Source organism: Homo sapiens, chromosome 3 (genome assembly GCF_000001405.40).
Source record: "Homo sapiens chromosome 3, GRCh38.p14 Primary Assembly".
Taxonomy (NCBI): Eukaryota; Metazoa; Chordata; class Mammalia; order Primates; family Hominidae; genus Homo; species Homo sapiens.
In genome coordinates this window covers 48,403,542-48,431,157 of record NC_000003.12, presented here as the reverse complement: position 1 = coordinate 48,431,157, position 27,616 = coordinate 48,403,542, and the positions used below count along the sequence as shown (strand labels likewise).

At 59.7% G+C, this 27,616-nt stretch overlaps 1 protein-coding gene across 18 annotated transcripts, besides 3 other annotated features; it reads left to right on the top strand.

Annotated features, from left to right (window-relative positions):
* Nucleotides 125-1,118: an enhancer, noted in NCBI's record as "H3K27ac-H3K4me1 hESC enhancer chr3:48471449-48472442 (GRCh37/hg19 assembly coordinates)". NCBI's record gives its function as "activates a minimal SCP1, AML or CMV promoter by ChIP-STARR-seq in primed H9 embryonic stem cells {active_cell/tissue: H9 hESC(primed)}" and the evidence as "EXISTENCE:reporter gene assay evidence [ECO:0000049][PMID:30033119]".
* On the top strand, nt 848-27,304 carry PLXNB1 (plexin B1). 18 transcript variants are annotated; one of them, XM_047448333.1, is made up of 38 exons: nt 848-936; nt 5,825-5,877; nt 6,541-7,653; nt 8,211-8,393; nt 8,699-8,827; nt 8,953-9,053; nt 9,352-9,484; nt 9,774-9,930; nt 10,202-10,310; nt 10,385-10,493; nt 10,901-11,581; nt 11,792-11,914; nt 12,119-12,241; nt 12,616-12,709; nt 12,795-12,967; nt 13,096-13,247; nt 14,707-14,812; nt 14,991-15,127; nt 15,399-15,575; nt 15,811-15,982; nt 16,117-16,359; nt 17,087-17,263; nt 17,340-17,488; nt 17,989-18,089; nt 18,199-18,416; nt 18,538-18,716; nt 18,854-18,920; nt 19,149-19,295; nt 20,122-20,290; nt 20,600-20,703; nt 20,778-20,862; nt 21,081-21,253; nt 21,427-21,587; nt 21,682-21,829; nt 24,067-24,131; nt 24,260-24,335; nt 25,360-25,434; nt 26,568-27,304. In XM_047448333.1, the coding sequence occupies exons 3-38, from the start codon at nt 6,547-6,549 to the stop codon at nt 26,670-26,672; spliced, it is 6,408 nt and encodes a 2,135-aa protein (XP_047304289.1). In that variant the 5' UTR covers nt 848-936; nt 5,825-5,877; nt 6,541-6,546; the 3' UTR covers nt 26,673-27,304. The 18 variants fall into 18 exon arrangements, 17 of the variants coding, with proteins under 17 accessions (XP_047304289.1, XP_011532137.1, XP_047304291.1 ...); XM_011533835.2 differs by having other exon boundaries at nt 20,775-20,862; XM_047448335.1 differs by lacking the exon at nt 848-936 and adding an exon at nt 957-1,035.
* Nucleotides 1,359-1,958: a silencer, noted in NCBI's record as "silent region_14327". NCBI's record gives its function as "represses an Ori minimal core promoter by ATAC-STARR-seq in GM12878 lymphoblastoid cells {active_cell/tissue: GM12878}" and the evidence as "EXISTENCE:reporter gene assay evidence [ECO:0000049][PMID:35858748]".
* Nucleotides 2,039-2,118: a silencer, noted in NCBI's record as "silent region_14326". NCBI's record gives its function as "represses an Ori minimal core promoter by ATAC-STARR-seq in GM12878 lymphoblastoid cells {active_cell/tissue: GM12878}" and the evidence as "EXISTENCE:reporter gene assay evidence [ECO:0000049][PMID:35858748]".
* Nucleotides 27,305-27,616: the final 312 nt, after the last annotated feature.

The window sequence follows — 27,616 nt, the reverse complement described above, 5'->3', positions numbered from 1 at the left end:
CTGTGCTTAGAGTGTTCACATTCCTTGTAGGGCAGGAGGTAGCGTATCTGTGTACAGATGAAAGGGGTTGTGGGGTTTGGAAGTCCCAGTTTCCTCTGGGGTGAGATAGGTCCTGAAGTGTGTGCTTGGATGAATGGATTTGGGGAGGGAGGGATTCTGTGCATGTGGAGGGGGCTGCTACAAGCTACATAGGCAGGAAAGCCAAAGTGGGTGAGGGACTGGGGCAGACTGTCCTGGCTGGGGTGGTGATGGGTGTGGGGGAGTTGTGCAGAATGATGTCACAGGCCCGGGGTGCCAGGTTGGCAGTCTGAGGTCAGAGGCTAAGGGTGAGGGATCCAGGGAGGGATTGCTATGCTGGTGCAGACAAGGTGCTAAGCACCTGGACTCAGGTGCTGGAAGTGGGAGTGGAGGAAAAGGGGTGACCTGACAGGAGACCCTTGATAGCTGGTGGGAGGTGGGAAGAGGGTGTCTCTAGCTCTAGGGCAGTAGCCAGTGTGGATGACCTGAACCTCCTGATTGAGGCTCCCCTAGCCTGTGGAGGCCTTGGAGGCTTTCAGATGATGCCTGTGACGTTTTTGCCTCCCAGGAAGCTGTGCCAATGGCTTTGAGCCAAAGTCCTCCAAAAGTCCTAATAGGATGGGCCAGGTTCTGGTCCTGAGTTAGCCGTGGGCATGCCAGGGTGTGAAGGGCCCTGCACAGGGTACAAATGGTCCCCAGGAGAGAACCTTTCTGCCAGCGTTTCCTCCCGCAGAAGGCCCAGGTGTTTGCCAGTGAGGGAGCCCAGACTTGCCCAACGCTTCTCAGCTTGGGGTGGGTCCAGGTCTGGGTCCTGGGCTGGGAAGAAAGGAAGGAAGTGAGCCCTTGCTTGTGCGCCTCTGCAGCCCAGGTTCCCTGCCTTCACAGCCCCGCTAGAGGTGGGATCACCCCCACTTACTGGTGAGCAAATAGGCTGGGGGGGGTTGGTGTCAGGTTACATGGTTTAGTTGATGGCGCAAGCCCAGGTCCAAAGCCCATGCTCTTCTCAAACAGCCAGAGGTGGGGGCCGGAAGGAGGGATTGGCTGTTGGGGAGTAGTGGGAGCAGGGGCGGTGAGCAGGGGCGGTGGGCAGGGCCAGGTGCGCAGGGGAGAAACAAGGCGCCTTGGAGTTCAGGTAAAGAAAGTTGGGGAGGATGACCACCGGAGCCGGGTAAGGAAGGGAAAGGGAGCTCCGGGCGCGGGGCGAGGCCGGGCGCTGGCAGAAGAACGGGTCGGGCTGGTGAGGGACTCGGGTGCTACCCGGCTCTGGACGGGCGGGAAGAGGCCGGGACGCTGTTCCACCAGCACCTGCGGGTGCGGAGCGCGACCCCCCGCCTCGGCTCCTGGCAACCAGGAAAGTTCCCAGTTCCGGTTCCAAGGAGGCGAGCAGGTGAGGCCGACGGGGCGGGGCGGCTCTGGCTCCCGGGGTTCACTCCTCACCCCTCCGGGCGACCCGCGTTGCCATGGCGACCGCCGCGGTGCAGCCCGCCCCCGCCCTCCCCCGTGCGGGAGGGGTCGGGTCCCCAGCCCTCGGCCGATGCGGAGCCCGCGGGGCTGGAATGCGGGGTCCCGGGCGGTTCGGGGCCGCGCGCCCGGCTCTCCGGGCTGCTTCCGGCCTGGCCCGGGCGGCGGGCGGGGGGAGGGCAGCCCGGCAGGCGAGGGGGAAGGAGCGGAGACGAGCCCGGCCGACGCGGCTTTGTCTCCTTTGTTCCCGGCGGTGGCAGCGCCGCGCGGGAGGGGCGGGCAGCGGGCGCAGTTTTCCGCCCCTCGGTCTCCGGGTAACAGCTGCGGCTCCGCCAGACCCGGGGAGAGGCCGCTGCGCGCGGAGCCCGAGCCCGGAGCGGCCGACGCCCGCCTCGGCGCGCACATCCCGCGGGGCCCGGCCGGGTGGTGAGTGCGGGGCTCGGGGCCAGGGCGGCGAGGAACGGGGCTCCCGAGGTGGAACGGGCCGGGGCCCCGATCCCGCCGGGCAGGGGCGGCCTGGGTGAGTGGTGGGCGGCTTTGGTTTTGAGAGTTGGGACCACACTTCTCCGCGCGAAGGGAAACTCTGGCGACTCCGCCTGGAACGCGATTGGGAGACTGAGGAGGTGGAGCTGCTCCTCCGCGCCCCCTCCTCGCCGTCGCCGCCGGGGACCGGCCGGCCCCTTCCCCGCCCTCCCAGGGCCAGTGATGGGGTCCTCGCCTCGGGGTCTGGGGGTTGGGGAGGGTCAAGGACGAGCCGAGTGGGGAGGTCGGGGCTTCCCCTCAGTAGTAACAGCCCTTTCTGGCTGCTCCCGGTGGGACTGACAAAGGCGGACCTCGAGCCTCCTGACCCCCGGGCGGGTGGGGGGGACCCTCCTCTCCACACACAGACATATTAAGTGGGTGATCGATGAGCGCCTTGGGTCATCGCAGGTGCCTGGTAAATGGTGGATCTCCCCACCCCTCCTCAACACACAGAAAACAGGGCGGGCAGCGGGCACCACTGCACTGTCAATGAATAACTCACCTCTGTAGTGAACCCTGGGAGCTGAGCAGGAGGGTGAAACGGGAAGGCCGGTTTCCCACTAACTGGCAGGCAAGGCAAATGTGGGCTGTCCTATGGCCCCTCTGCAGGTGCGGAATGGCGGGGTTTGTGAGCCCCTTTTGTTGTCGAGGACAGCTCCACGGGGGTCCGGGAGGTGCTTGCTCTACAGACAGAAGTTGGGCAGTCTTGCGCCCCCTGAAAAGGTTCAGAGTAGGGTGGCCCCAGAAGAGACTCCAGGGCATGTGTGGGGGAGCACTGGGCACAGGCAGAGTTAGGCTTTGGCTGTGAGTCTGAGCAGGGCCTCAGATATTGGGAATGGGCAGGAGATCCTGGCTGTGTAAGTTGGGGATGTGAGGTCTGGTTCTAGATCAGCCTTTTCAGTCTGCCCTGGCCTGGTCATTAATAAAAGTGGGGCCAATGTGTTCCCTTTGAGAGACCAAGTGGCTTGGAGGGATTGTGGGCCCCCTATCTCCCCTACTTGTTGGGTTTTCTTGGGTGTGAAATGGGGGTTCGTTCACCATACAGGGAGCATCTGGTCTGTGCTGAAGTCTGTGTAAGTTGCTGGGGCCTCTGAATCAGAAGCCATACTCCCTGCCTTCAAGGAGCTTCAAGTCCAGAGTAGGAGGGTGGAACAGGGAGAAAGGTGACCCTGGTTGGCATCACTAATGCCAGGCACACACTGTTTCATGTTTACTGGTCAGAGCAATCCTGCCTCCCATTGTACAACTAGGAAATCTGAGGCTCGGAAAGCCTGAGGCAGAGCGGCCGTGCCTGTCAGGGTGGTGGCTAGGTGTGTCCATTCTGTCCACCGCATGCAGCGGCCTCCTCAGGAGCCTGGGAGGACAGGGGAGGCTCCCCAGGGAGAGGATGGTTGGTGTAGGAGTTAATGGGATAGCGAGGGAGTGGGCATTCCAGGCAGCGGCAAGAGCCTGTGCAGCGGTTGGAGGAGCCAAGCAGCCTGCAGTTCAGGCTGGCAGGAACGAAGGGCATGTGTGGGGGAGCACTGGCATGGATCGGGTGGGAGAGGTGTGGACTGGAGGGGTAGGCCTTTATCCCTCCCGCTCTGGGGTGCCCCAGAGGCTCTTGGGGGAGGGGTGTACTCAATTCTGCTCAAGGAAAGTCCTGAGAAGTTGGGAGTTGGGAGGCTAGATTGGAGGGGCTGGGAGCTGCTCAGTGGCCTGTGGCAGAGATTAAGTGAAATCCATGTGCCTGAAATGGAGGAGAAAAAGTCACTGCTCTTCTTTCTGTCCTCCTTCCGACACCCATGGTATGTGTGGAGGGGCAAGGGGTGCTAGGTCCTGATTCACAGGGAGACTGCTGGCAGAAGCCTGACCACTTTCCCTGGAGTGGGTCAGCGGCCGACCTCCTCAGTGGCCTGGCCAGGAGCTGTTCTGATCCCGCCCATTTCTTCCTGTTGTCTCCTCATCCAGTGTTTTTTTTTTGTTTTTGTTTTTAACCATTTTTTCATCTCCCAAGGCTCTGTCATGCATCAATGCAGTTTTGATTTCACATATGGGGAGTGGTTTTGTTACTGCCCCTTGAGGGCTGGAGAACTTTGGCACGCAGTAGGCTCTGAGCAAATATTTGTAAGCATGTAGGAGTGAGTATTGGTCTAACTATGGGACCCTGTGCCCAAGGCCCATCCCTGGCATGCGGTGGCAGGAGAATTGAACAGTAGCCCCTTGCAAGAGGTGGCCTCTGCCCATCCTCAGGTGGACTCTGTCTTCCCATGGGAAGAAACTTTCTTTCCTCATCCCTTGGAAACTAGGTGGGGGGCTCTTGGGCAGCCTGGTCTTGCCACAGTCCTGGGATCCTGGCCGGGTTCGAGACTTTCCCTGCTGCCCCCTTCCCCCCGCCCCCTTGGGTGGCTAACAGAGGCAGCCTTGTTCCTGCTCCCATAGAGCTGCCCTGTTTTCTGCACACTAAAAATGGAAACCCCCAAGCTATTTCGGGAGCAGTGCCCAGCCAGGCTGTGACCACGGCCCCCCTGCTCCCACCGGGCTGTGGCCACAGTGTCCCGGCTTCCACCAGGCTGCTGGACCCTCCCCTGAGCCTTGTGCCCGGCCCTGTTCACTTCAGGGCAGCCTCAGGAGTACCCTGCTCAGGCCTCATCTGCTAGGATGAGCCGACCTGGGAGAAGCAAACGCTTGGGATATTTTGCACAGACAGCTTGGCAGCTGGGTGATGGGAGGGGCTGGGCAACGTGGCCTGGGCACAGGCAAGTAGGGGAAGTGTCTCCCAGTCTGAGATGCATTGTCTGTCCCAGCACTTCACCAACCTTGGTGCTCCTGGCTAGAGACCACTGGGGAAGGTGGTATTGCCATAGTTTCTTGGTTCAGGGACTCAGGAGCCTCAGCTGGGGCCCAAGAAGGGGTCTGTGTGGAAAGCAGGCACCCAAAGTCTGGGGAGGTCCTGGGGATGGGCCTGGGAACAGCCAGGCATGGCACCTTCCTCCAGGACACACTCCACTTACCCCACATCTTGGGCCCTGGCACTATTCTGAACTGCAGGAGAGGAAATAGCAAGAGATGGCCTAGCTTCTACAGCTCTCTAGTACGTAGGGCTCCAACTAAGTACTCTCAAACGAGGGGAGTGTGCCTGAGTGTGCGTGTGTATGTCTAAATGTGAGTGGTGGTCTGAATGTCTCGGGTGAGTGTGACATATGTGCCTGCAGTGTGTTTCTGTGTGGGGGAGTTGTCTCTATATGGATGTGTCTTCATGTGGTGTTTGAACATGGGTGGCTGTGTCTGTGTGTGTCACTGTGCTGTGTGTATAGATGGCATCTGCATCTCTCTCTCTCTGTGTGTGTGTGTGTGTGTGTGTGTGTGTGTTGTAGGCATATACATACAGGGTGGGTGGTGTGTATGTATCTTGCTGTGCGACTGCCTGTCTGCTGAAGCGCTGGTGGCCCTTTGGGCTGGGACAGCCCCTGGCTGTGTAGAGGGTGTGTACCTGGGTGCCTTTACAGGGTGGAGTTTGAGCAGAGAGAGGGACCTCACAGGGAGAAGGCCATGCTGGGGGCCTGGCTGGGCCCTGCCAGCCACGGGGCTCCTTCCTAGCTGACCTTTCCCAGGCCCCTCGGGTGCCTGGCTCTGCTGCCCTCCCCCTCCTCATGTGGGCTCTGAGGAGGCGTCCTCTGTGGAATGTGTTTGGTGGCCAGGGGCCAGGCTGGGCCCAGCTCCACCAGCAGGCTGGGCGGTGGGGAGGGGGTGCTTCTGTGCTGCCTCCCCGGTGGGGAGCCCAGGGCTTCCACGTGCCTGCAGCCCAGGCCCCGGCTTCACACTCGGCTTTCCCGCCTGCTAGGTGACTCCCACACGGGTCATGCTGTTGTCTCCTGATCCAGCCGGCCCTGCCAGGTGAGCCTGACCTCACACTAGATATCTAGGAGCAGCATGACTCCTACCTATTCTGAGGGCTCTCGGAGGTGGGGGGCAGCCCTTCAGGCCCCACCCCTCCGAGCTGGAACCTCTTCCCATCTCTCAGGCCTGTTGGTTCTGTGGTTATTACCCTTCTGGATTCCTGGCCTGAAAGGCCCTGCACCCAACTCTTGTCTTGATTCTAACATTCTGCTGGTTCAGGAGACCTCCCTCTCCTTCCTTCTTCTGCCCGGGAAACCCTCATCCATGTAGAGCCTCTCCTTTCTTGGGGTCTGGGCCCCTCCTTCCCATCACCTGCTCTTCTGCCCCATCCAGACCCTGCTTCCTGGGCATGGCCTCTCAGCCCCTCACCCTCTGATCTGGGGGGATGGTGAGTGGGGTGCAGGTCTCCTGAGAGAATCGTGCCTGCAGAGAATGGGCAGTGTTGTCTAGGAAGTGTCTCCTATTTCTGACCTTGTTCTAGTGTGTGGTCCTGGGGTCATCCTGGACATAGTGCCTATCTAAGAAGCCTGGTCCTCCTCTGCTCACCCCCTAGGTTAGGAGGAGCATCTTGGCAATGCCACAGTCCTATCCCTTACCAGTGGCCCCAGGGTGCTCTGGCGGCCACGTGAGCCCCACTCTCTCGACCTCTCTTCCTGCCAGGTGACCATGCCTGCTCTGGGCCCAGCTCTTCTCCAGGCTCTCTGGGCCGGGTGGGTCCTCACCCTCCAGCCCCTTCCACCAACTGCATTCACTCCCAATGGCACGTATCTGCAGCACCTGGCAAGGGACCCCACCTCAGGCACCCTCTACCTGGGGGCTACCAACTTCCTGTTCCAGCTGAGCCCTGGGCTGCAGCTGGAGGCCACAGTGTCCACCGGCCCTGTGCTAGACAGCAGGGACTGCCTGCCACCTGTGATGCCTGATGAGTGCCCCCAGGCCCAGCCTACCAACAACCCGAATCAGCTGCTCCTGGTGAGCCCAGGGGCCCTGGTGGTATGCGGGAGCGTGCACCAGGGGGTCTGTGAACAGCGGCGCCTGGGGCAGCTCGAGCAGCTGCTGCTGCGGCCAGAGCGGCCTGGGGACACACAATATGTGGCTGCCAATGATCCTGCGGTCAGCACGGTGGGGCTGGTAGCCCAGGGCTTGGCAGGGGAGCCCCTCCTGTTTGTGGGGCGAGGATACACCAGCAGGGGTGTGGGGGGTGGCATTCCACCCATCACAACCCGGGCCCTGTGGCCGCCCGACCCCCAAGCTGCCTTCTCCTATGAGGAGACAGCCAAGCTGGCAGTGGGCCGCCTCTCCGAGTACAGCCACCACTTCGTGAGTGCCTTTGCACGTGGGGCCAGCGCCTACTTCCTGTTCCTGCGGCGGGACCTGCAGGCTCAGTCTAGAGCTTTTCGTGCCTATGTATCTCGAGTGTGTCTCCGGGACCAGCACTACTACTCCTATGTGGAGTTGCCTCTGGCCTGCGAAGGTGGCCGCTACGGGCTGATCCAGGCTGCAGCTGTGGCCACGTCCAGGGAGGTGGCGCATGGGGAGGTGCTCTTTGCAGCTTTCTCCTCGGCTGCACCCCCCACTGTGGGCCGGCCCCCATCGGCGGCTGCTGGGGCATCTGGAGCCTCTGCCCTCTGTGCCTTCCCCCTGGATGAGGTGGACCGGCTTGCTAATCGCACGCGAGATGCCTGCTACACCCGGGAGGGTCGTGCTGAGGATGGGACCGAGGTGGCCTACATCGAGTATGATGTCAATTCTGACTGTGCACAGCTGCCAGTGGTGAGTTCCAGTATTGCCCCACTTTTCCGCCTCTCTGAGGCCACTGGCCAAGCATTTGCAGCCAAGGAGCTGCCCAGAGAGTCCGAGGGCAGCTGGTGGTAGCACGAGGATGATCAGATCAGCAAATATTAAGTGCTTCCTATGTTGCCTGGGCAGTGGAAGGGTACCTTACCACAAATCTGGCATGCGGGTGGCAGCAGTGTCTGGATGGGCTTGGACCAGGATGCTGGAGGGGTGGCACTTGTGTCGGTGGATTGGGAGGGTGTTTGGGGGTTCTTGGGTAGGGACAGGGACCTAGAATGGAATGAGACCTTTGGTTCTTGAGCAGGAGAGGAAGGTGAGGTCGGGATTGATGAGCTGTAGCCTCAGGATGGATAAAAAAGGGAAGAGAGACTGGGGGCGGGGATGAGATTGTCCCAGGAGGGCCAGCAGAGAAAACACAGTTGTACAGGGAGAGCTACCAGAGCGGCTGGGGGAGGGAATGAGGTTGTCCAGGGACGATGCGGCCGAGGAGGTTATCCAGGGAGGGCCTTCCTGATGCTTCTTGCTGCCTATAGGACACCCTGGATGCTTATCCCTGTGGCTCAGACCACACGCCCAGCCCCATGGCCAGCCGGGTCCCGCTGGAAGCCACACCAATTCTGGAGTGGCCAGGGATTCAGCTAACAGCTGTGGCAGTCACCATGGAAGATGGACACACCATCGCTTTCCTGGGTGATAGTCAAGGGCAGCTGCACAGGGTGAGCCCACAGGAAGTACTGGCCCCTGCCCCAGAGTCTGGAGGGAACAGATTGCTAGGGACCCAGCCTGGTTTAAGCTATCCCTGTGACCCCTGGGCCAGGAGAGATGACCTGAGCTCCTCTCCCCAGGACTGGGTGGTGTTTACCTGTGACTTTCCTCCATCCCCGCTAGGCCAGTTGGTATGACCTGTGACTGCCTAGGAGGAAATTCTATTTGTAAATTACTTCGATTGGGTGGAGGAGGGGAGGGCTTTGGGCCTCTGGCCATGGACTTGGGTCCCAGACCCTGTGGTCTCTGATCCCAGGTCTACTTGGGCCCAGGGAGCGATGGCCACCCATACTCCACACAGAGCATCCAGCAGGGGTCTGCAGTGAGCAGAGACCTCACCTTTGATGGGACCTTTGAGCACCTGTATGTCATGACCCAGAGCACAGTGAGTGCCAGGCACAAGCCAGGGCATGGCTGCTGGGAGGGGCCTCTGGGTGGGGCCAGGGACCCACTTGTGGGTGAGCCACTGGTGTTTGGATTGCTGGCCTCAGGTCCTCTTTGCTGTCTCAGCTTCTGAAGGTTCCTGTGGCTTCCTGTGCTCAGCACCTGGACTGTGCATCTTGCCTTGCTCACAGGGACCCATACTGTGGGTGGTGCGTGCTCCTTGGCAGGTCAGATTTCTGACCCCATCCCAGCCCCAGCCTCAAGCCCACAATGCTCCTGCATAATTGTCCTGTCCAGAATTCCTGACCCTTAGACCATGACTCTCAACCCCTGATCCCCAGACACCCCAATTCCTCACCCCCATCCTCTGCACTGGGCATCAGTGCCCTGCCAGGGCAGACACAGGAGCCTCTATCATGCCCACTCTAGGGCCCTGCCCAGGTCCTCCAGATTGTAGGAGTCCCTACCCTATGAACTCCCAGTGGCCCATGAGGGTCACAGATAGACACTGGTCATCTCGCCCAGGTGCAGTCGCCGTTCTGAGTGCTCGAGGGGCCAGGGCCCAGAGCAGTGGCTATGGAGCTTCCAGCCTGAGCTGGGCTGTCTGCAAGTGGCAGCCATGAGTCCTGCCAACATCAGCCGAGAGGAGACGAGGGAGGTGAATGATCAGATAGGCAGGGCCCTGGTGGGGAGGGCTCTGGGCATCAAGGTCTGGGTAGAGATCTTGGATCCTGATGTCGGACATGCCAGATACCACATGGCCTCACACAAGTCACTTCTTTTAGGAGCTCAGTTTCCCCATCTATTTCTAACTCAGGCCAGAGGGTGTTTGGGGAGGCCTGAGGGCTGTTGATTGCTGGTGCCTGCCCACATTGGGTGTCCCATAAATGTGAGCCCTGGTCTGCTGCCCACTAGCCCCAACAGTGTGTCCCTGGCTCTCTTGGCAGGTTTTCCTATCAGTGCCAGACCTGCCACCCCTGTGGCCAGGGGAGTCATATTCCTGCCACTTTGGGGAACATCAGAGTCCTGCCCTGCTGACTGGTTCTGGTGTGATGTGCCCCTCCCCAGACCCTAGTGAGGCCCCAGTGCTGCCGAGAGGAGCCGGTGGGTGAGAGAATGGGCCAGCCTGGTGGGGGCCAGCCCCTGCTTCAGGGGATGCGGTGGGGTTAAAGTGTGAATCCAGGCAAAGAGCCATGAATGGATGCCTTTCTCTGGGTCCTCCCACTCCCCAACCACCTGAAGCCTCCATTCTGTGCCCTTGGACTGTATTCCCTCATCCCGGGTCCTCTTCCCCATTCAAGGGCTCAGGATATCGGCTCTGGGTCTGAGTGCACCTCCTTGCTGCTTAACCCTGGCCCTCTCTCCCCCTCTGCAGACTACGTATCCGTGAGCGTGGAGCTCAGATTTGGCGCTGTTGTGATCGCCAAAACTTCCCTCTCTTTCTATGACTGTGTGGCGGTCACTGAACTCCGCCCATCTGCGCAGTGAGTTCCTCGCCCTGTCCCCAGGCCTGGGCTTCCCTGTGGCGACCCTTGCCCCATGGCTGTGCTCTGTGCAGGTGCCAGGCCTGTGTGAGCAGCCGCTGGGGGTGTAACTGGTGTGTCTGGCAGCACCTGTGCACCCACAAGGCCTCGTGTGATGCTGGGCCCATGGTTGCAAGCCATCAGGTGAGTGTGACTTTGGGCTGGGCCATACCGGGGGGGTTGGGGGTCCCAGTGTGAGAGTTTTTCTCATGGCCCGGGGTCTGTCTGCCTATGTGAGGCTCTGTCCTGAGCACCAGAGCCGCTGTATGTGACGGACTCCCTGGAGAACAGCCGCCGATACATCCCGCCTGTTTTGGGAGAGGGCATTTGTAGCTGAGAGGCAGGGGATGTCTGGCCTTCATGCCCCACCTCGGCACAGACACCCCTGGAGCCTTCCCCCGCAGTTTTCTCCAGTGGAGAATTAATGGGCTGTTTTTATTTCTCTTTTCCTTGGTCTCCTTTCCTCTTAACATACACTGTGCCTGCCTGCCTCCTGTCCCGCGCCTGCCTGCTGAGTGGCCCTTCCTGTCTTCCTCTGCCTCCCCCTTCAGAGCCCGCTTGTCTCCCCAGACCCTCCTGCAAGAGGTGGACCCAGCCCCTCCCCACCCACAGCCCCCAAAGCCCTGGCCACCCCTGCTCCTGACACCCTTCCCGTGGAGCCTGGGGCTCCCTCCACAGCCACAGCTTCGGACATCTCACCTGGGGCTAGTCCTTCCCTGCTCAGCCCCTGGGGGCCATGGGCAGGTTCTGGCTCCATATCTTCCCCTGGCTCCACAGGGTCGCCTCTCCATGAGGAGCCCTCCCCTCCCAGCCCCCAAAATGGACCTGGAACCGCTGTCCCTGCCCCCACTGACTTCAGACCCTCAGCCACACCTGAGGACCTCTTGGCCTCCCCGCTGTCACCCTCAGAGGTAGCAGCAGTGCCCCCTGCAGACCCTGGCCCCGAGGCTCTTCATCCCACAGTGCCCCTGGACCTGCCCCCTGCCACTGTTCCTGCCACCACTTTCCCAGGGGCCATGGGCTCCGTGAAGCCCGCCCTGGACTGGCTCACGAGAGAAGGCGGCGAGCTGCCCGAGGCGGACGAGTGGACGGGGGGTGACGCACCCGCCTTCTCCACTTCCACCCTCCTCTCAGGTGATGGAGACTCAGCAGAGCTTGAGGGCCCTCCCGCCCCCCTCATCCTCCCGTCCAGCCTCGACTACCAGTATGACACCCCCGGGCTCTGGGAGCTGGTGAGGCCCAGCCCAGGAAGGAGGCCTCAGGGGAGGGGATGTGGGGAAGATGCTACCCCTAGCTTGCCTTGTGATTCTGCACTGGGAGGAGGTGAGGGGCAGGGTGGAGTCTGCAGCCCCACACCGGCCTTGCCTCTGGAATCTGGCAAGGCAGAGGGCTGAGCTGGGCAGGGTGGGCTCCATAGACTGCCTTGCCCTTGGTGCCTGCAGGAAGAGGCGACCTTGGGGGCAAGCTCCTGCCCCTGTGTGGAGAGCGTTCAGGGCTCCACGTTGATGCCGGTCCATGTGGAGCGGGAAATCCGGCTGCTAGGCAGGAACCTGCACCTTTTCCAGGTCAGTGTGTCCTGCCTGCCGCTGTCCTTGCAGCCTCCTTAGCTGTTGAGAAACTCTGCACAAGCCCTGGGGAGCAGGAGGAGGGCAGAGTCCGAGGGCTCAACTCCAACCCAGAAGCTGTGCTGGGGGATCTGTTGGGTGACCTGCAGGACTCCCTGGGCCCAGCTCCTGAAGCTGCCCAACAGCTGTGTTCTCTGCCCTCAGGATGGCCCAGGAGACAATGAGTGTGTGATGGAGCTGGAGGGCCTCGAGGTGGTGGTTGAGGCCCGGGTCGAGTGTGAGCCACCTCCAGATACCCAGTGCCATGTCACCTGCCAGCAGCACCAGGTGCACACCATGAGCGCCTGGGTGGGCACGGGTGCACTGCACTGGCCACAGGCTGGCTGCCAACTGTAGCTGGCTGCACCACACTTTCCAGAGCCACGCTCTGACCGTGTCGCCCTGAGGGAGTCTCCACACCCATTTCTGACCTCTGACCATGTGCCCCGTGGAGTCCTTGCATCCCAGCTCTGAACTCTAACTTGAGACCCCATGGGGTCCCCATACTCCATTTCTGGCTCTGCCCTCCAACTTGTGGCCCCATGGGGTCCCTCTGACCCTATGCTCCTAACTGGTCGTTTTAGTCCTTTCTCTGACTAACCCCTCCCCAGGCCTGACACTTCCCCCAGTGCTTGACTCTGAACCCACTCCCATTTCTCCAGCTCAGCTATGAGGCTCTGCAGCCGGAGCTCCGTGTGGGGCTGTTTCTGCGTCGGGCCGGCCGTCTGCGTGTGGACAGTGCTGAGGGGCTGCATGGTGAGCCACCTGCGGGCTGCTGGGCTGGCGGTGGTAGCAGGGCTCTCCCAGGCCTGCCTCTCACGTGTGTCTCTGCCACCCCCAGTGGTACTGTATGACTGTTCCGTGGGACATGGAGACTGCAGCCGCTGCCAAACTGCCATGCCCCAGTATGGCTGTGTGTGGTGTGAGGGGGAGCGTCCACGTTGTGTGACCCGGGAGGCCTGTGGTGAGGCTGAGGCTGTGGCCACCCAGTGCCCAGCGCCCCTCATCCACTCGGTTTGTTGAAAGGCTGGCCATCCCTTCCTCAGTGCTGCCCTTAGAGGGAGGGTGTGGGGGCCCAAAGGTGGGAGGTTGGGGCTGCCTTTCCAGTTGAGTAGAGGTGAGCAGTCCTTGTCCTGGAACAGGTGGAGCCACTGACTGGGCCTGTAGACGGAGGCACCCGTGTCACCATCAGGGGCTCCAACCTGGGCCAGCATGTGCAGGATGTGCTGGGCATGGTCACGGTGGCTGGAGTGCCCTGTGCTGTGGATGCCCAGGAGTACGAGGTCTCCAGCAGGTAAGCTGGCTGCACCCAGCAGGAGCACGGCGCAGCCTGGGGCCTCCGCGGTTGGCGTTGCTGCTTGGGGCCTCCCACCCACCGCTCATCTGCCCCCCTCTCTCCCTGTTCCTTGATCCTGGCCACAATGCCCGAGTGCCAGCGTTGCCACTGAAGACCCTGAGCACCCACCACACCTGTAGGTTCCTGGCCTGGGCTGCTGGGGAATCCTTCCTGGGCCCGTCACTGCCCAGAACTGACTCGTGGCTCTGCTTCCTGCTCTGCTCACCTGGTCTTCTGAGGGACTGTGGATATATTAATAGCTGTGGCAGCAGGACCCTCAGATCAGACAGATAAGCTCAGGGGCTGGCCTTCTCACCAGCTCACTCTTCCCCAGGCATTGTCCTGGGCTGCCAGGCTCTTCAGGAAGGTAGACTTGGAAGGCACACCTCAGAAAGGCACACTGGCCGAGGGCCAGGCTCCACTGTCGTCTCTAGGGACCCCTGCTGCCTTCCTGGGGCTCCTGGGTTATGGTAACCTGGCCAGCGGTTGCAGGCCCCAAAGGTACACACGCAGGACATTCCTAAGGAGATGTCCATAAGCAGCAGGGCCCAAACGTGGCTGAATATCAGGGTAACCTGCAGATCCTGTCCCAAACCAACACAAACATCTGGATTCAGGAGGCCCACGGTGGGGCCCCCAAATCTGTATTTGAAACAAGGAACCACTCTCCTGGAGCACGGAGTGTCCCCTGAATGTGTTATGACCGAGAACTTACGGTGACTATCTAGACTGTTAGTGTTCCAGACCATAAGACTGCTGTGATTTATGAAGCAATTAGCATATATTCTGTCTGGAGCCTCCCCTGGGTGGCTCACACGTCACTTGTGTCTTCCTAGTGTTTGCAACAACTGTGACAATGTCACTGAGTTGAGCCACTGCAGGCTTAACACTCTGGAAGTTTAATTTGCCCAAGCTTCTATTTTCTGGCTAAGAACCAGCATTTTCTTAGATGGTTCACTTTCCCTTCACCTGTATTTCCCTGTCTGACTAGAGGCTTTCAGGGACTCTTTTTCCTGAATAAATCAAGTTTCTACCATGCTTTGAGTGGGTACTGTGCATGTGACGTGGCGGAGGACATGGGCGGCTAGCTGTGCCCACTCACTTGCTCAGCAGCTCGCCCCACAACCAGGCTGACAGGGCCCCTTTGTAAATTTATGCCACAGATAAATTCTTCCTTATTGGGGGCCCCTGGGGTTGAACTTAAATGATTGAAGCCACAAATATTAATTCTCAGATACCAAGGCCTTCTGATGTGTCATAAAGAATTCCCTCCAAAGTGAGAGAGGGTCTCTGTCAATCTTATGGAGCATGGGAAGGGGAAGACCACCTGACAGTAGGGCAGGGAGAGGGGCTGCCAGGTAAGCTTGAGGGGCCCTTGATGCAGCCTGGCACCCCCTAGCCTGCCCTGTGCCTACAGCCTCGTGTGCATCACCGGGGCCAGTGGGGAGGAGGTGGCCGGCGCCACAGCGGTGGAGGTGCCGGGAAGAGGACGTGGTGTCTCAGAACACGACTTTGCCTACCAGGTACCTGACTGCTGAGCCACCCCCAGCTGCCAGCGGGCCAACCTCTCTGGTGGCTCCTCTCAACCCATCTGGTTATTCCTTGGTGGGGCTCCCAGTCCTGGGCCAGCCTGTCTCTCAGGCTGTCCCTGCCTCCATGTGTCTGGTCTGATGCTCATCTCTCTCCCTGTCTGTCCCACAGGATCCGAAGGTCCATTCCATCTTCCCGGCCCGCGGCCCCAGAGCTGGGGGCACCCGTCTCACCCTGAATGGCTCCAAGCTCCTGACTGGGCGGCTGGAGGACATCCGAGTGGTGGTTGGAGACCAGCCTTGTCACTTGTGAGGGCCACTTCCTCATCCTGCAAAAATCCATCTGCTCCAGGGGAAAGATGGAGGGGTCTGAGATCCTGGGGAGAGCAGAAAGGGGAAGAGGGCCAGTCTGCTCCTTCAGAGAGTGGCCAGACCCTCCCTAGCCAGCTGTGGTGGGAGTGCACCTCCAGGGACACCTGGTGGAGACTGCAGTCAGCGCTTGAGGGAAGCCAGTTGGGGCCTGAGTGGTCCAAGTTTTCCCTGCCTGCGCCCCTGCATTCATTCCCACCTCCCCTCCCAGGCTGCCGGAGCAGCAGTCAGAACAACTGCGGTGTGAGACCAGCCCACGCCCCACGCCTGCCACGCTCCCTGTGGCTGTGTGGTTTGGGGCCACGGAGCGGAGGCTTCAACGCGGACAGTTCAAGTATACCTTGGACCCCAACATCACCTCTGCTGGCCCCACCAAGAGCTTCCTCAGGTGTTGGGCCAGGGGTGTGGCTGCATGGCAGGTGGCAGGGAGGTCTTTGCAGCTCCACTATGTGGGGGTTTGTAGGGCTTTATGTTGAGGCACTGAGAATCCCATGCTGCTAGTAGGGGCAAGGGGTCGTGTGGTTTGGGGCTGGGGCTGAGCTGACCTAGCCGGGACTGGGCTGTGCTTTAGGTCCAGGTAACATAAGCCATCTTACGTTACGTAAGCTCACGGTCTGTTTCAGTGGAGGACGTGAGATATGCGTCCGTGGCCAGAATCTGGACGTGGTACAGACGCCAAGAATCCGGGTGACCGTGGTCTCGAGAATGCTGCAGCCCAGCCAGGGGCTTGGACGGAGGCGTCGCGTGGTCCCGGAGACGGCATGTTCCCTTGGACCCTCCTGCAGTAGCCAGCAAGTAGGACACCCTTGGGTACCCCCACACTCTCCCCTTGCCCCATACCACACCCTGGGGACAGCCAGAGCAGGTGCCAGAGGAGGCTCTTCCCATCTTTGCTTGGCCCCTCGTCAACCTGCCTGTCTTCCTTCCAGTTTGAGGAGCCGTGCCATGTCAACTCCTCCCAGCTCATCACGTGCCGCACACCTGCCCTCCCAGGCCTGCCTGAGGACCCCTGGGTCCGGGTGGAATTTATCCTTGACAACCTGGTCTTTGACTTTGCAACACTGAACCCCACACCTTTCTCCTATGAGGCCGACCCCACCCTGCAGCCACTCAACCCTGAGGACCCCACCATGCCATTCCGGCACAAGCCTGGGAGTGTGTTCTCCGTGGAGGTACAGCTCCTACTTGGACCTGGCAGGGCCCCGAGACCCTTCCCTTGGCTGGACAGCACTGCTGTGTGTGGCGGAGAGGCCGAGACAGTAGAGCAAGGGCCGGTGGATGGACATGGCTCCTCATCCTTGCTGTGGTGGGGGCAGAGGGGGCTGGTGGGGGGTGCCTAGCCTAGCATCTGGCACGAGCTGGACTGCTTGGCTGGTGGCCCGGGTCCTGATGCACTCCATGGCAGGCTCTGGAATGACTGCATTTGTATGTTCGGCCTGTGCAGTAGCTGGGTGGTGTGGTCCACATAGGCCATCGGGCTGACCCCCGTTGGCAGCCTGGCTCACATGGACATGCGCTAGGCATGTGTCTTGGACATACACAGTGGGCAGCAGATGGGCATGCGGGCAGACCACAGGTTGATACAGCATCATCACCCCCCTGGTGAGTCATCAGACACAGATTGGGGGCTCCAGCTTTGTTAGGTAGCTGGGCAGGATTTGGGAGGCAGCTTTATGTTCTCCAGATTTTTCGTTCTGGAGAAGAAAGATAGGAAAGGGCAACAAAGGGTGATGAGGAGCAGCTTGGAGGACACCGTGTGACTGGCCTGCACTCGGGAAGGGTGCTGAGAGGCTGTCAGCTTTGCTGCTGCGGCTGGGTCTCAGGGTCCTTCCCACATTTGGGGAGGACAGGATCTGAGGGAAGGGTCCTGAGTGACTGATCGGTGACCCTCTGTTCCAGGGGGAGAACCTGGACCTTGCAATGTCCAAGGAGGAGGTGGTGGCTATGATAGGGGATGGCCCCTGTGTGGTGAAGACGCTGACGCGGCACCACCTGTACTGCGAGCCCCCCGTGGAGCAGCCCCTGCCACGGCACCATGCCCTCCGAGAGGCACCTGACTCTTTGCCTGAGTTCACGGTCAGTGGGCAGGTCCCTGGCCGGGCTGGGCATTGACCTGGGCCAAACCCTTGCTCACAGGTGGCTCCTGACACAGGTGCAGATGGGGAACTTGCGCTTCTCCCTGGGTCACGTGCAGTATGACGGCGAGAGCCCTGGGGCTTTTCCTGTGGCAGCCCAGGTGGGCTTGGGGGTGGGCACCTCTCTTCTGGCTCTGGGTGTCATCATCATTGTCCTCATGTACAGGTGGGTGCAGCCAGATGTGGCTGGGCTGGGGCAGGTCGTGGGATCTGGCTGGACTGGGAAGGGACAGACCGGGCCAGGAGTCAGGAAACATTCTCTGTAAATGGCCAGAGAGTAAATATTTTCGCTTTGCAGGCCAAGTGGTCTCTGTTCAACAACTCAGCTTTGCCACTGTGGCACAAAGGCAGCCAGGGACGACATGGAAACACATGAAAGTGGCTGTGTTCTAACAAATCTTTATAAAAATAGGTTGTGGGATGGATTTGGCCTGGTTGTGGTTGGCTGATCTCTAGGCTAAACTGTGCTGGGCTAGACGGGGCATGGGTGTGTGTGACTTGCTTGGGACGGGACAGGCTGAATCGTACTGGGCTAGGCTTGAGCTTGGCTGGCATGGCTGCATTGGACTGTGCTGGATGAGGCCGGGGTGTGCCTGGGGATTGTCAGGCAGGCCTGGGCGAGTAGGACTCATCTGGCCATCCTCTCCTGACCCTGGGGCTGAGCAGGAGGAAGAGCAAGCAGGCCCTGAGGGACTATAAGAAGGTTCAGATCCAGCTGGAGAATCTGGAGAGCAGTGTGCGGGACCGCTGCAAGAAGGAATTCACAGGTGTGGCTGAGAGAATGGGCCCCGCCCTCCAGAACTCTGCCCAAACCCACTCCCATCACACGGGATTGGTGCTTAACAGGTGCTTAACCTGGCCTCTTCTGCTTAACAGACCTCATGACTGAGATGACCGATCTCACCAGTGACCTCCTGGGCAGCGGCATCCCCTTCCTCGACTACAAGGTGTATGCGGAGAGGATCTTCTTCCCTGGGCACCGCGAGTCGCCCTTGCACCGGGACCTGGGTGTGCCTGAGAGCAGACGGCCCACTGTGGAGCAAGGGCTGGGGCAGCTCTCTAACCTGCTCAACAGCAAGCTCTTCCTCACCAAGGTACCCCCAGCTGCATCTTCCTGGCCTGCCCCTGGCCCTGCCCCTTCTCCAGGGCATGGTTTCTGAGCCCGCCCCTCTGTCCCCCTAAACCCCTTTTCCCATCCCTTCTCTTTGGCTGCAGTTCATCCACACGCTGGAGAGCCAGCGCACCTTTTCAGCTCGGGACCGTGCCTACGTGGCATCTCTGCTCACCGTGGCACTGCATGGGAAGCTTGAGTATTTCACTGACATCCTCCGCACTCTGCTCAGTGACCTGGTTGCCCAGTATGTGGCCAAGAACCCCAAGCTGATGCTGCGCAGGTCTGTGTGGCTGTTGGGGCTGGGTGGGCCCTGGACAGCTGGAGCTGGGGTGGGGCCTCGGGCTGGGGGGTCTGCAGGATAGAGAGGCCCGCAGCCCCACCTGCTGACCCTGGCACTCCCCTTTCCCATCATCTCAGGACAGAGACTGTGGTGGAGAAGCTGCTCACCAACTGGATGTCCATCTGTCTGTATACCTTCGTGAGGGTGAGGGGGCAGAGGTGGACAGGGCTCCTGTCCAGGGAGGGTCAGGCCCTCCAAACTTCTAAGCCCTCAGCCACCATGCAGCTCGGACACTTGTGCCAGAGCAGAGACTCCTGCTCAGCCTGTCCTCAGTCCCCTTAAGCCCATGTCCTGTCCCCTTCCCCAGTGTGCGTCATGTCCCATACACCTCTGCCACCTGCTGGGGGGCCCTAACTGCCTGTGCTCTCCTAGGACTCCGTAGGGGAGCCTCTGTACATGCTCTTTCGAGGGATTAAGCACCAAGTGGATAAGGGGCCAGTGGACAGTGTGACAGGCAAGGCCAAATACACCTTGAACGACAACCGCCTGCTCAGAGAGGATGTGGAGTACCGTCCCCTGGTGAGGGTGTGCAAGTGTGTGGCCTGCAGTCTGAGTGCGGTGAGGGCGAGGGTGGAGAGTGTGTGGGTGTGTGGGGTCTGGACACCAGCTTCTGATGTGGTACCTGGATGTAGAGCTGGGTTGACCTCTGGCTGGCTCCTGGAGAGAGCCCATCAGACTAGCTTAGCAGGATAGCAGTTTAGGGCAGACTTTGATGATAAGGCCTCTATGTGCCCCAGGCTAGGGATGGAACTAGGGTAGCCACAACCAGGGTTTGGGAGAAGCCAGCCCTACCTTAGACCATGGGCTTGAGCTGTGTCAGGGCCTGACCCTGTCTGCCTGGCCCTCCTACCAGGAATGCGGCCTTGCCCACCAAGCCAGCCTCACTCTGGCAGGCACTTCTCTCTGGGTTTGCTTTCCCCTTAGTTACGCACAAGGGTTCCTGTGGGAAACCCCCATTCAGGCCTGCTGAACCCCTCCCCTGTCGGATAGGTGGGAATATTTGCTCCCGATGGTGGGAATGCAGGCTTCCCGAAACTCCGTCAGCCTGACCCATTCAGCCAGGAACCTGGGGATCTGAGTGATGAGGGACTTGTGCTCACTCATTTTTTTCTGCCATTTACCCCATAGTGGTTTACAAGTGCACTGCGCTAGGTGCTGGGGTCACAATGGGGAGGAAGCTGCTGTCCCTGGGGAAGGCAGGCAGGTGAAGAGACGAGAATTAGGGATTGTGTGGTGCGTGGGGATTGGAGGCAGCAGTTTCTCATGAGTTGTCTCTGCCCTTGGCCTGTGTCTTGGTCATCCTGAGTGCACATGAACCCTGATGGCTCCTGTGTGTCCTGCACAGACCTTGAATGCACTATTGGCTGTGGGGCCTGGGGCAGGAGAGGCCCAGGGCGTGCCCGTGAAGGTCCTAGACTGTGACACCATCTCCCAGGCAAAGGAGAAGATGCTGGACCAGCTTTATAAAGGAGTGCCTCTCACCCAGCGGCCAGACCCTCGCACCCTTGATGTTGGTGAGGGCGTGGAGAGCCCCTGGGGACCTGAGCCACTGTTGGGCCTGGGCTGGCCCCGGACCAACTCTGCAGGGACAACTCATCACTCAGGGTGGGGAGGATGCTGGGAGGCAGGCAGAAGCTGGCTTTGGAACATCTTTCTTGGACAGCCTCTCATCTGGGGAGGGGGTCCCTGCTCTTGGTCTTTGGAGAGGTTGAGTAAGGCTGCCCCATGATGGAGGGGCTGGTGTCCCTGTGGAGGAGGAGATGGGCTCCACTATGGGAAGGGTATCTTCCAGCCCTGCACCCAGTTCTGCCTTGCCCTTGCAGAGTGGCGGTCTGGGGTGGCCGGGCACCTCATTCTTTCTGACGAGGATGTCACTTCTGAGGTCCAGGGTCTGTGGAGGCGCCTGAACACACTGCAGCATTACAAGGTAGGAGGAGTGGGAGCTGGAGGAGGGCATGGTGGGGTGGGACTGGTGGAGGGATCACCAGCTGTGCTCAGCAGGTCCCAGATGGAGCAACTGTGGCCCTCGTCCCCTGCCTCACCAAGCATGTGCTCCGGGAAAACCAGGATTATGTCCCTGGAGAGCGTGAGTACCGCTCCCATCACGGTCCTCTGCCCCTGCTGTGCCCAGCCCGGAGTCATGGGGAAGGTCCTCTGGGCCTCAGGGCAGGCTTGTGCCTATTTCCATTCGGCCCAGGAAATCCCTCAACCAGGTGCCCCCACCCCTGGGAGAGCTGGCAAGAAACAGGGGGCCTGGGGAGGTGGCACCTGGGGAGGGGTGACAGCTGTGGGCTCTTGGCACAGGGACCCCAATGCTGGAGGATGTAGATGAGGGGGGCATCCGGCCCTGGCACCTGGTGAAGCCAAGTGATGAGCCGGAGCCGCCCAGGCCTCGGAGGGGCAGCCTTCGGGGCGGGGAGCGTGAGCGCGCCAAGGCCATCCCTGAGATCTACCTGACCCGCCTGCTGTCCATGAAGGTGGGGTGGGGCTGCCAAGGTAGTGGGGCCTGGGCTGAGAGGGAGCATGGCCACTCGTGGGATTTGGGGGTGGTGTGGGGCTCGTGCAGGCACAGTGCCGGGGGGTGTCTGAGGCTGGGCTGCTGCTGAGGGCCCTTTGCTGACCACACCTCTCTGCTTCTTCCTTCCCACAGGGCACCCTGCAGAAGTTCGTGGATGACCTGTTCCAGGTGATTCTCAGCACCAGCCGCCCCGTGCCGCTCGCTGTGAAGTACTTCTTTGACCTGCTGGATGAGCAGGCCCAGCAGCATGGCATCTCCGACCAGGACACCATCCACATCTGGAAGACCAACAGGTGGGGTGGAGCTGGGTGGGCTCTAGGTGTGTGTGGGGGGTCTTCTCTTCTGCCTCCCCAGCACATTCATCGGCCATGCCTGCCCCACCCGCAGCTTGCCTCTGAGGTTCTGGATCAATATAATAAAAAACCCGCAGTTTGTGTTCGACGTGCAAACATCTGATAACATGGATGCGGTGCTCCTTGTCATTGCACAGACCTTCATGGACGCCTGCACCCTGGCCGACCACAAGCTGGGCCGGGTGAGCGAGTCTGGGATGGACACGGGGGGATGGGTGAGGGTGGACAGTGCTGTGTGTGCACTCAGATTCCAGGCTTTTCTGAGAACTTCAAGGAGGGCTTAGGGGAGACCTCTGACCTCCCAAGCCAAGGCTTCATCCCGGGGCCACCTCAGTTTTAAGGGATGAGCAAGAGGAGGGGACACTGTGTGCCAATTCACAGGTGAAGTTGTGTGCAGCAAGTACAGCCTGGTGTGGCTGGGGCATAGAATGCTGGCCAGGCGTGGCAGTAGGCCAGGGCCAGTTGGTCAGGACTCACTCCTGGGGCAGTGGGAGCCACAGAAGGTCTGGGAACAGGGAAGTTATGTGACCAGACCTGAGAGTTTGGTGGAACATTGTGGCTGCTGTGCATGGATGAGCTGAGTGAGGGAGTCCCAAGAGGGCGCTGTGCTGTCCTGACAAGCAGTGGCTGGGTTCAAGCCGGGTGGGAGGGTGCAGGGCAGGCAAAAGCTGAAGGTTGGATGTGGGGGATGAGGAAGAAGGAGGGGAGTCACACATGATCCCTGGGCCTCTGGCTGTGGTAAGCTTAGACTTGGAGAAGGTGAGTCTGGTGTTTGTGGGGTTTCCAGATAGAGACATGGATTGTTCAATCCCAGAGCAGCTCTGGGCTGCTGATTGGGTTTAATTCCTTAGGGTGGTGGAGGTGTCTGCCTGCCAGTAGGGAAGTAGGGAAGAGAGTTCATGGAGTGTCACAGTTTGAGGGATGTGTGAGGAGGGGAGCTGGGAAGCACAGGAGACTGAGTAGTTGGAGCCGTCCGGGAGCACAGAGGTTGGGAGTCTATTGTCATAGCAGTCAAAGCCGAGAGTCCCCTGACATATGAGGTCCCCAAGGTGTCTGCTCAAGCACCCAGTGGGCAGGGCCCTCGTGTGACTCTGCAGGTCCATGAGTGGGGCTCTGCTTAGCCTAGACCCCCAGGTCTCAGTTGGCTTGGGACTTCTTGAGAGATACATCCCTACACCTCTGGGAAAAATCAAAATTAGCTTGGCACGGTGGCTCACACCTAGAATCCCAGCACTTTGGGAGGCTGAGGTGGGCAGATCGCCTGAGGAGCTCAGGAGTTTGAGACCAGCCTGGGCAACATGGCAAAACCCTGTCTCTACAAAAAATACAAAAATTAGCCAGGAGTGGTGGTGTGTGCCTGTGGTCCCAGCTACTAGGGAGGCTGAGGTGGGAGGATGGCTTGAGCCTGGGAGGTTGAAGCTGCAGTGAGCCATGACTACTCTGTTCACTGCACTTCAGCCTGGGTAACAGAGCGAGACCCTGTCTGAAAACAAAAACAAAAACGGAAAGTTCTGTCCAAAATTGTAGCACTGTCTTTTGGGAGCCATTTTTGTTCCACATGCTGTCATCATGCCTATAATGAGCTAAGAATCAAAGGGCCACACCAGGACCCGCAGGGCCACCTCCAGGGTAGACCCTATGTGGTGGCTGGGATTTTTGCCAGATCCTTCCAGTACCTCCCCTTCCCAGCAGAACAGCAAATGGTTCCTGGGTAGCTCAGGAGTAGTCCGAACAAAGAATGCCAAGGGTTCCCCCATGGGGAGTTGTCAAGAAGGCGCGAATCCTGACTCAGGTTGACAGAGGAGCTGGCCTTGGATCCCTGCTCATGGGGGACAGTGCCACCTCGAGATATTCTCACCTTCCCAGCAGCTCTAGGATGAGGAGAGGTCCTGAGAATAGAAGTATGCTGCCCAGAGCCCATGGCTGCTGGGACTTGAACCCAGTTCAGTTGTAGACGCTGTGTCTAGGTGTGTTAAAGTGGTGGAAACTGGACAGACCTGCTTCAAATCCTAGCTCAGCCACTGGGGAGAGAGGTGGTCTGTGGCCGCTTAGGTAATGTTCTGGGTCTGTTTGCTCATTTTTAAAATGATGACCCTGGGAGTGAACAGCATGCGTCCTGCCCTACGTACCGGGCTCTTGCTGGATCTAGATGGTGGCATGTGGAGCTGAGAAATGATTTCCGATGACATCAGAGACTGGACATTGGTGGAAGGGAGGGAGCAGCAGAGGCTCCTGCGGAAGGAAGTAGGCGAGGGTGACCACCTGTCCTGGTTTTCCGGGACTCAGGGGCTTCCTGGGATGTGAGACTTTTCCTTTTCAAAACTGAAGCAGTACTGGGAAACCCAGGACACTTGATCACTCGAACAGGGACCCTCATCCTTCCTTCCTTCCTCTTTTGCTGTCCTCCTGCTATGTCCAGGACTCCCCGATCAACAAACTTCTGTATGCACGGGACATTCCCCGGTACAAGCGGATGGTGGAAAGGTACTGGAGGGCACGGTGGGTAGAGGTTGGAGGGCGTGTGCAGCTGAGGCTTGGGGGGTGGGCTCTGGTTGGGAGCAGGGGAGTGGGCTTGTTTACCCAGCAGCTGCTGTGCCCTGGCTCTCTGGCAGGTACTATGCAGACATCAGACAGACTGTCCCAGCCAGCGACCAAGAGATGAACTCTGTCCTGGCTGAACTGTCCTGGGTAAGGCCTCCCTCTGCTTCTTGGGTTGGGCATAGGCCTCCTGCCACAACGGTCCTTCCCCCTTCACACTGCCCCTTTGCAGGGAAGCCCTTGGGAACCTCAGCAGCCCTGTGAGCTGGTTGGGGCAGGAAACATAAATGCAGAATGTTCCAACTGCCACTGAAAGACCAGGGCTCCCACCATCTCATCACAGAGCAAGCAGGGGTCTTGTCCTGGCAGCTGCCATGTACCCTGATTCAGCCAGGCTCTTGCAAGGTAGCTGGGATTCAGCCCCAGGCCTGCCTGGGTCTGCCTGCATGCGTCTTCCCACTGCTGTGCTTCCCTTGGTGGCACAGGTGTCCCCTTCACCTCTCCCATTCCTGAAACCGCCCTAAAATGTAACTCCAGGGAGTTTATGAACAATGTTTCTGAAATGTTGATGATGACAACCACAACACTAATAGCAGATATAATTTTGGGGTGTTGTGTGTGAAGCCCTTCATGGGGTGCTTTGATTGTCTTATTTGATCCTCACAAGAACTCCACAAGCTAGGTGACACCAATTCCATCGTCCAGGTGAGGAAGTTGAGGCTCAGAGATGTCCCCATGGAGGGGCCTGAGAGTGACCTCAGGAAATACTTGAGTTAGGCCAGAGCAGAATCATGCTGGGCTGTCAGCCTGCAAGTGGCATCTGTGCCACTTGGCTCTGGAGTCATCTGGGTGGCAGAGGGTCTGGGCTAGAACCTCAAGGGGGTGAGAGAGGCAGGGCTTCAGTGGAAACCCCAGACCTTGCTGAAGCAGGTAGACCTGGGCTGTCTTCCTACCAAGGAGGCCCCCTTGCTCTACCCTGTTCTGTCCCCATCTGGCACACCTGGCCTGGGGTCCCTGGGCCATGGAGGGGACTCTGCTTCCCACTGTAGTGCCCATCCCATTCTCTACCTCTCAGGTCCCCTTCTCCCCCAGCCCTTCCCTGGGGTCCTGGGCTGCCTCCTGTGGCTCTCTGCACCCCTCGTCTCTCTCACCTTTCATTTGGCCTCTTCCCTAGAACTACTCCGGAGACCTCGGGGCGCGAGTGGCCCTGCATGAACTCTACAAGTACATCAACAAGTACTATGACCAGGTGGGCAGGCCCTGGACCCCGACTGGGAGGCTGACCCAAGGCCTCCCAGGAGACTTAAGGGGCTCTGACCCTGTGACTCACGTTGGGGGCTTTGGTCTTCCCCAGGGACAGAGTAGTGGGGGGCCGGGCCCCTTGGTGGCTTGAGAAGTGTTTTCCAGGCGGGCTTCCTGGCATTGGCTGTGCTCTCACCTGTCCCACTGCTCCCCATTCCAGCTCCCCAGCAGGACGGCGAGGCACAGTGCTGGTGGTTGTGGGGGCCAAGGGGTCTACCAGGGCCTGGAGATGGTGTGCATTTGCTGAGTTGGCAGCATGTTGGGCACGGCCAACATGCAAGTGCAGGCCTGGCTTGGCTGCATGAGCTGCGAAGAGGAGAGTCCAGGCACAGGGCCAGGGGTGTGAGGGTACACTGGAGCTGGTGAAGCTTTTTGGAGGATCCCTGGGCTGTGCCTGAAGAGCTGAGCACCTGCCAGTCAACCTGCTGGATGCCTGGTGGAATAGTCCACTTAGATGTTTGTGTGGCACCAGTGACATGGCTATTGCTGCTCAGAGATGAGGAACCTGTCTCATGGCCCACAGCCTTCCTCGGCATGGTGTGGGCCATGGCACGGGGCTTGGGGGAGGCAGGGTGTGATGCAGGCATGTCCCCTTGTGGAGACATAGTGGGCAGTAGCTGTTTTCCCAAGTGCTGCTGCCCTCCGGTTCCTACCGGTTCCCTTGGTGGCAGCCCCAAATTCGTGGTTCGTGTTTGATCAGTGTCTGTTTTCCCACCACGTGTCTGGTCATTCTTGGGTCTCTGCCCCTTGTCTGGCACCGGGCAGACAGGAACTTGGGAAATACTGTTGGCTGGCGGGTGGGTTAGCCAGGATGGCTGCAGCAGGGCTTCTGAGGAGCTCGCTACTGAGTCAGGTCCTTCATTTCCTACCTTATTCATCCTGGAACCCCGCGGTGACTTTGATGTTATTACCCCTCCCGCCAGCGAGGCCCTGAGGTCCCAGAAAGTACGTGAAGTGACCGGCTGGGTTTCTTGGCCTCCTACCCCACTCATGCCACAGCGTCTTAGGAGGGCTGTTGAATTTTGCAGCAAACACGTTGGCCAAAGAAGTCTCCCCTGATGGCATTGGTCTCTGTTTCAGATCATCACTGCCCTGGAGGAGGATGGCACGGCCCAGAAGATGCAGCTGGGCTATCGGCTCCAGCAGATTGCAGCTGCTGTGGAAAACAAGGTCACAGATCTATAGGAACCCAGGAGCCACGGCCTGCTGTTGCTTCAGCCTGGCCTGGGCAGCCCTGGAAGCTCGGAGGAGAGGCCACCTTCTTAGGTGCCTGTAGTGACTGACAAGCAGAGTTAGTGGAAGGTGACTCCCAGTCTCCTGGTGGCTCTGGCCTCGGCCCTGCTGGATCCACCTCCTAGACCCGGGGCCTCAAGGCTCATGGGGTAGTACCCAGCCTGCTCCCCGAGTCCAGCGACCCTGTGACACCGGTCTGCAGGGAGTTGGGGACTAAGGGCTTCCAGAGAGTGGCTGGAAGAGACTCCAGGCCCCTGGGGAGACTGTACTGTTCCTGAACACTGGCCTTGGCCACACTGGGATTCGGAGAGGAAGGAGGAGAGCCCCATGCTTCCTGTCTGCCTCCTCCACCATCCCTGACCTCAGTTGAGCTGCCTCTGGCCTTGTTGCTGCTGCCACATCCTAGGTCTAAGAGTTGAACGCCTCTCCTAGGCCACTACAAACTGACCCCTCAGCAGGGCTGGCTGCCACAGGGCTGCCCTGCCTCATAGGTAGCCATGGTGAGGGCTATCTGCTGCAGGGGGGTCTTGGGGAGAGTGGTGACTCCATTGACCCAGCTTTTCATTAAAGGATAACACACTGCACTGAGTCTGATGTGTGAGCCCGGCCTAGCCCCTGGCTACTAGGAGGACGGCAGCTATGCCCAGCAGGTACCAGGGGGAGGTGGTATCTATACTCTTGGGGAGTCTCATGGTTCCCCATCATATCCCAGACTGCAGGGCTGGCTGAGGCTCTCCTTGACGCCTGGGCAGGGTCTGGTGGGGTCAAAGCTTCCGTGAAGGAAGAACCCCATCTGGGGCAGGGCGGGTGACCGAGATAGAGGGGTCTACAGTCTCTTCAAGGGGGCCTGCTTTATCTGCAGTTTGCGTATTCTCACTTCTCCACTCATGTTCTAT

Bases quoted from the DNA above. Each gene is read 5' to 3' on its own strand.
- PLXNB1 (XM_011533835.2), top strand. From the start codon at position 6,547: ATGCCTGCTCTGGGCCCAGCTCTTCTCCAGGCTCTCTGGGCCGGGTGG. The intron at 16,360-17,086 runs GTACAGCTCCTA...CCTCTGTTCCAG, and splicing joins GGAGTGTGTTCTCCGTGGAG to GGGGAGAACCTGGACCTTGC. The intron at 18,717-18,853 runs GTCTGTGTGGCT...CCATCATCTCAG, and splicing joins CCCAAGCTGATGCTGCGCAG to GACAGAGACTGTGGTGGAGA.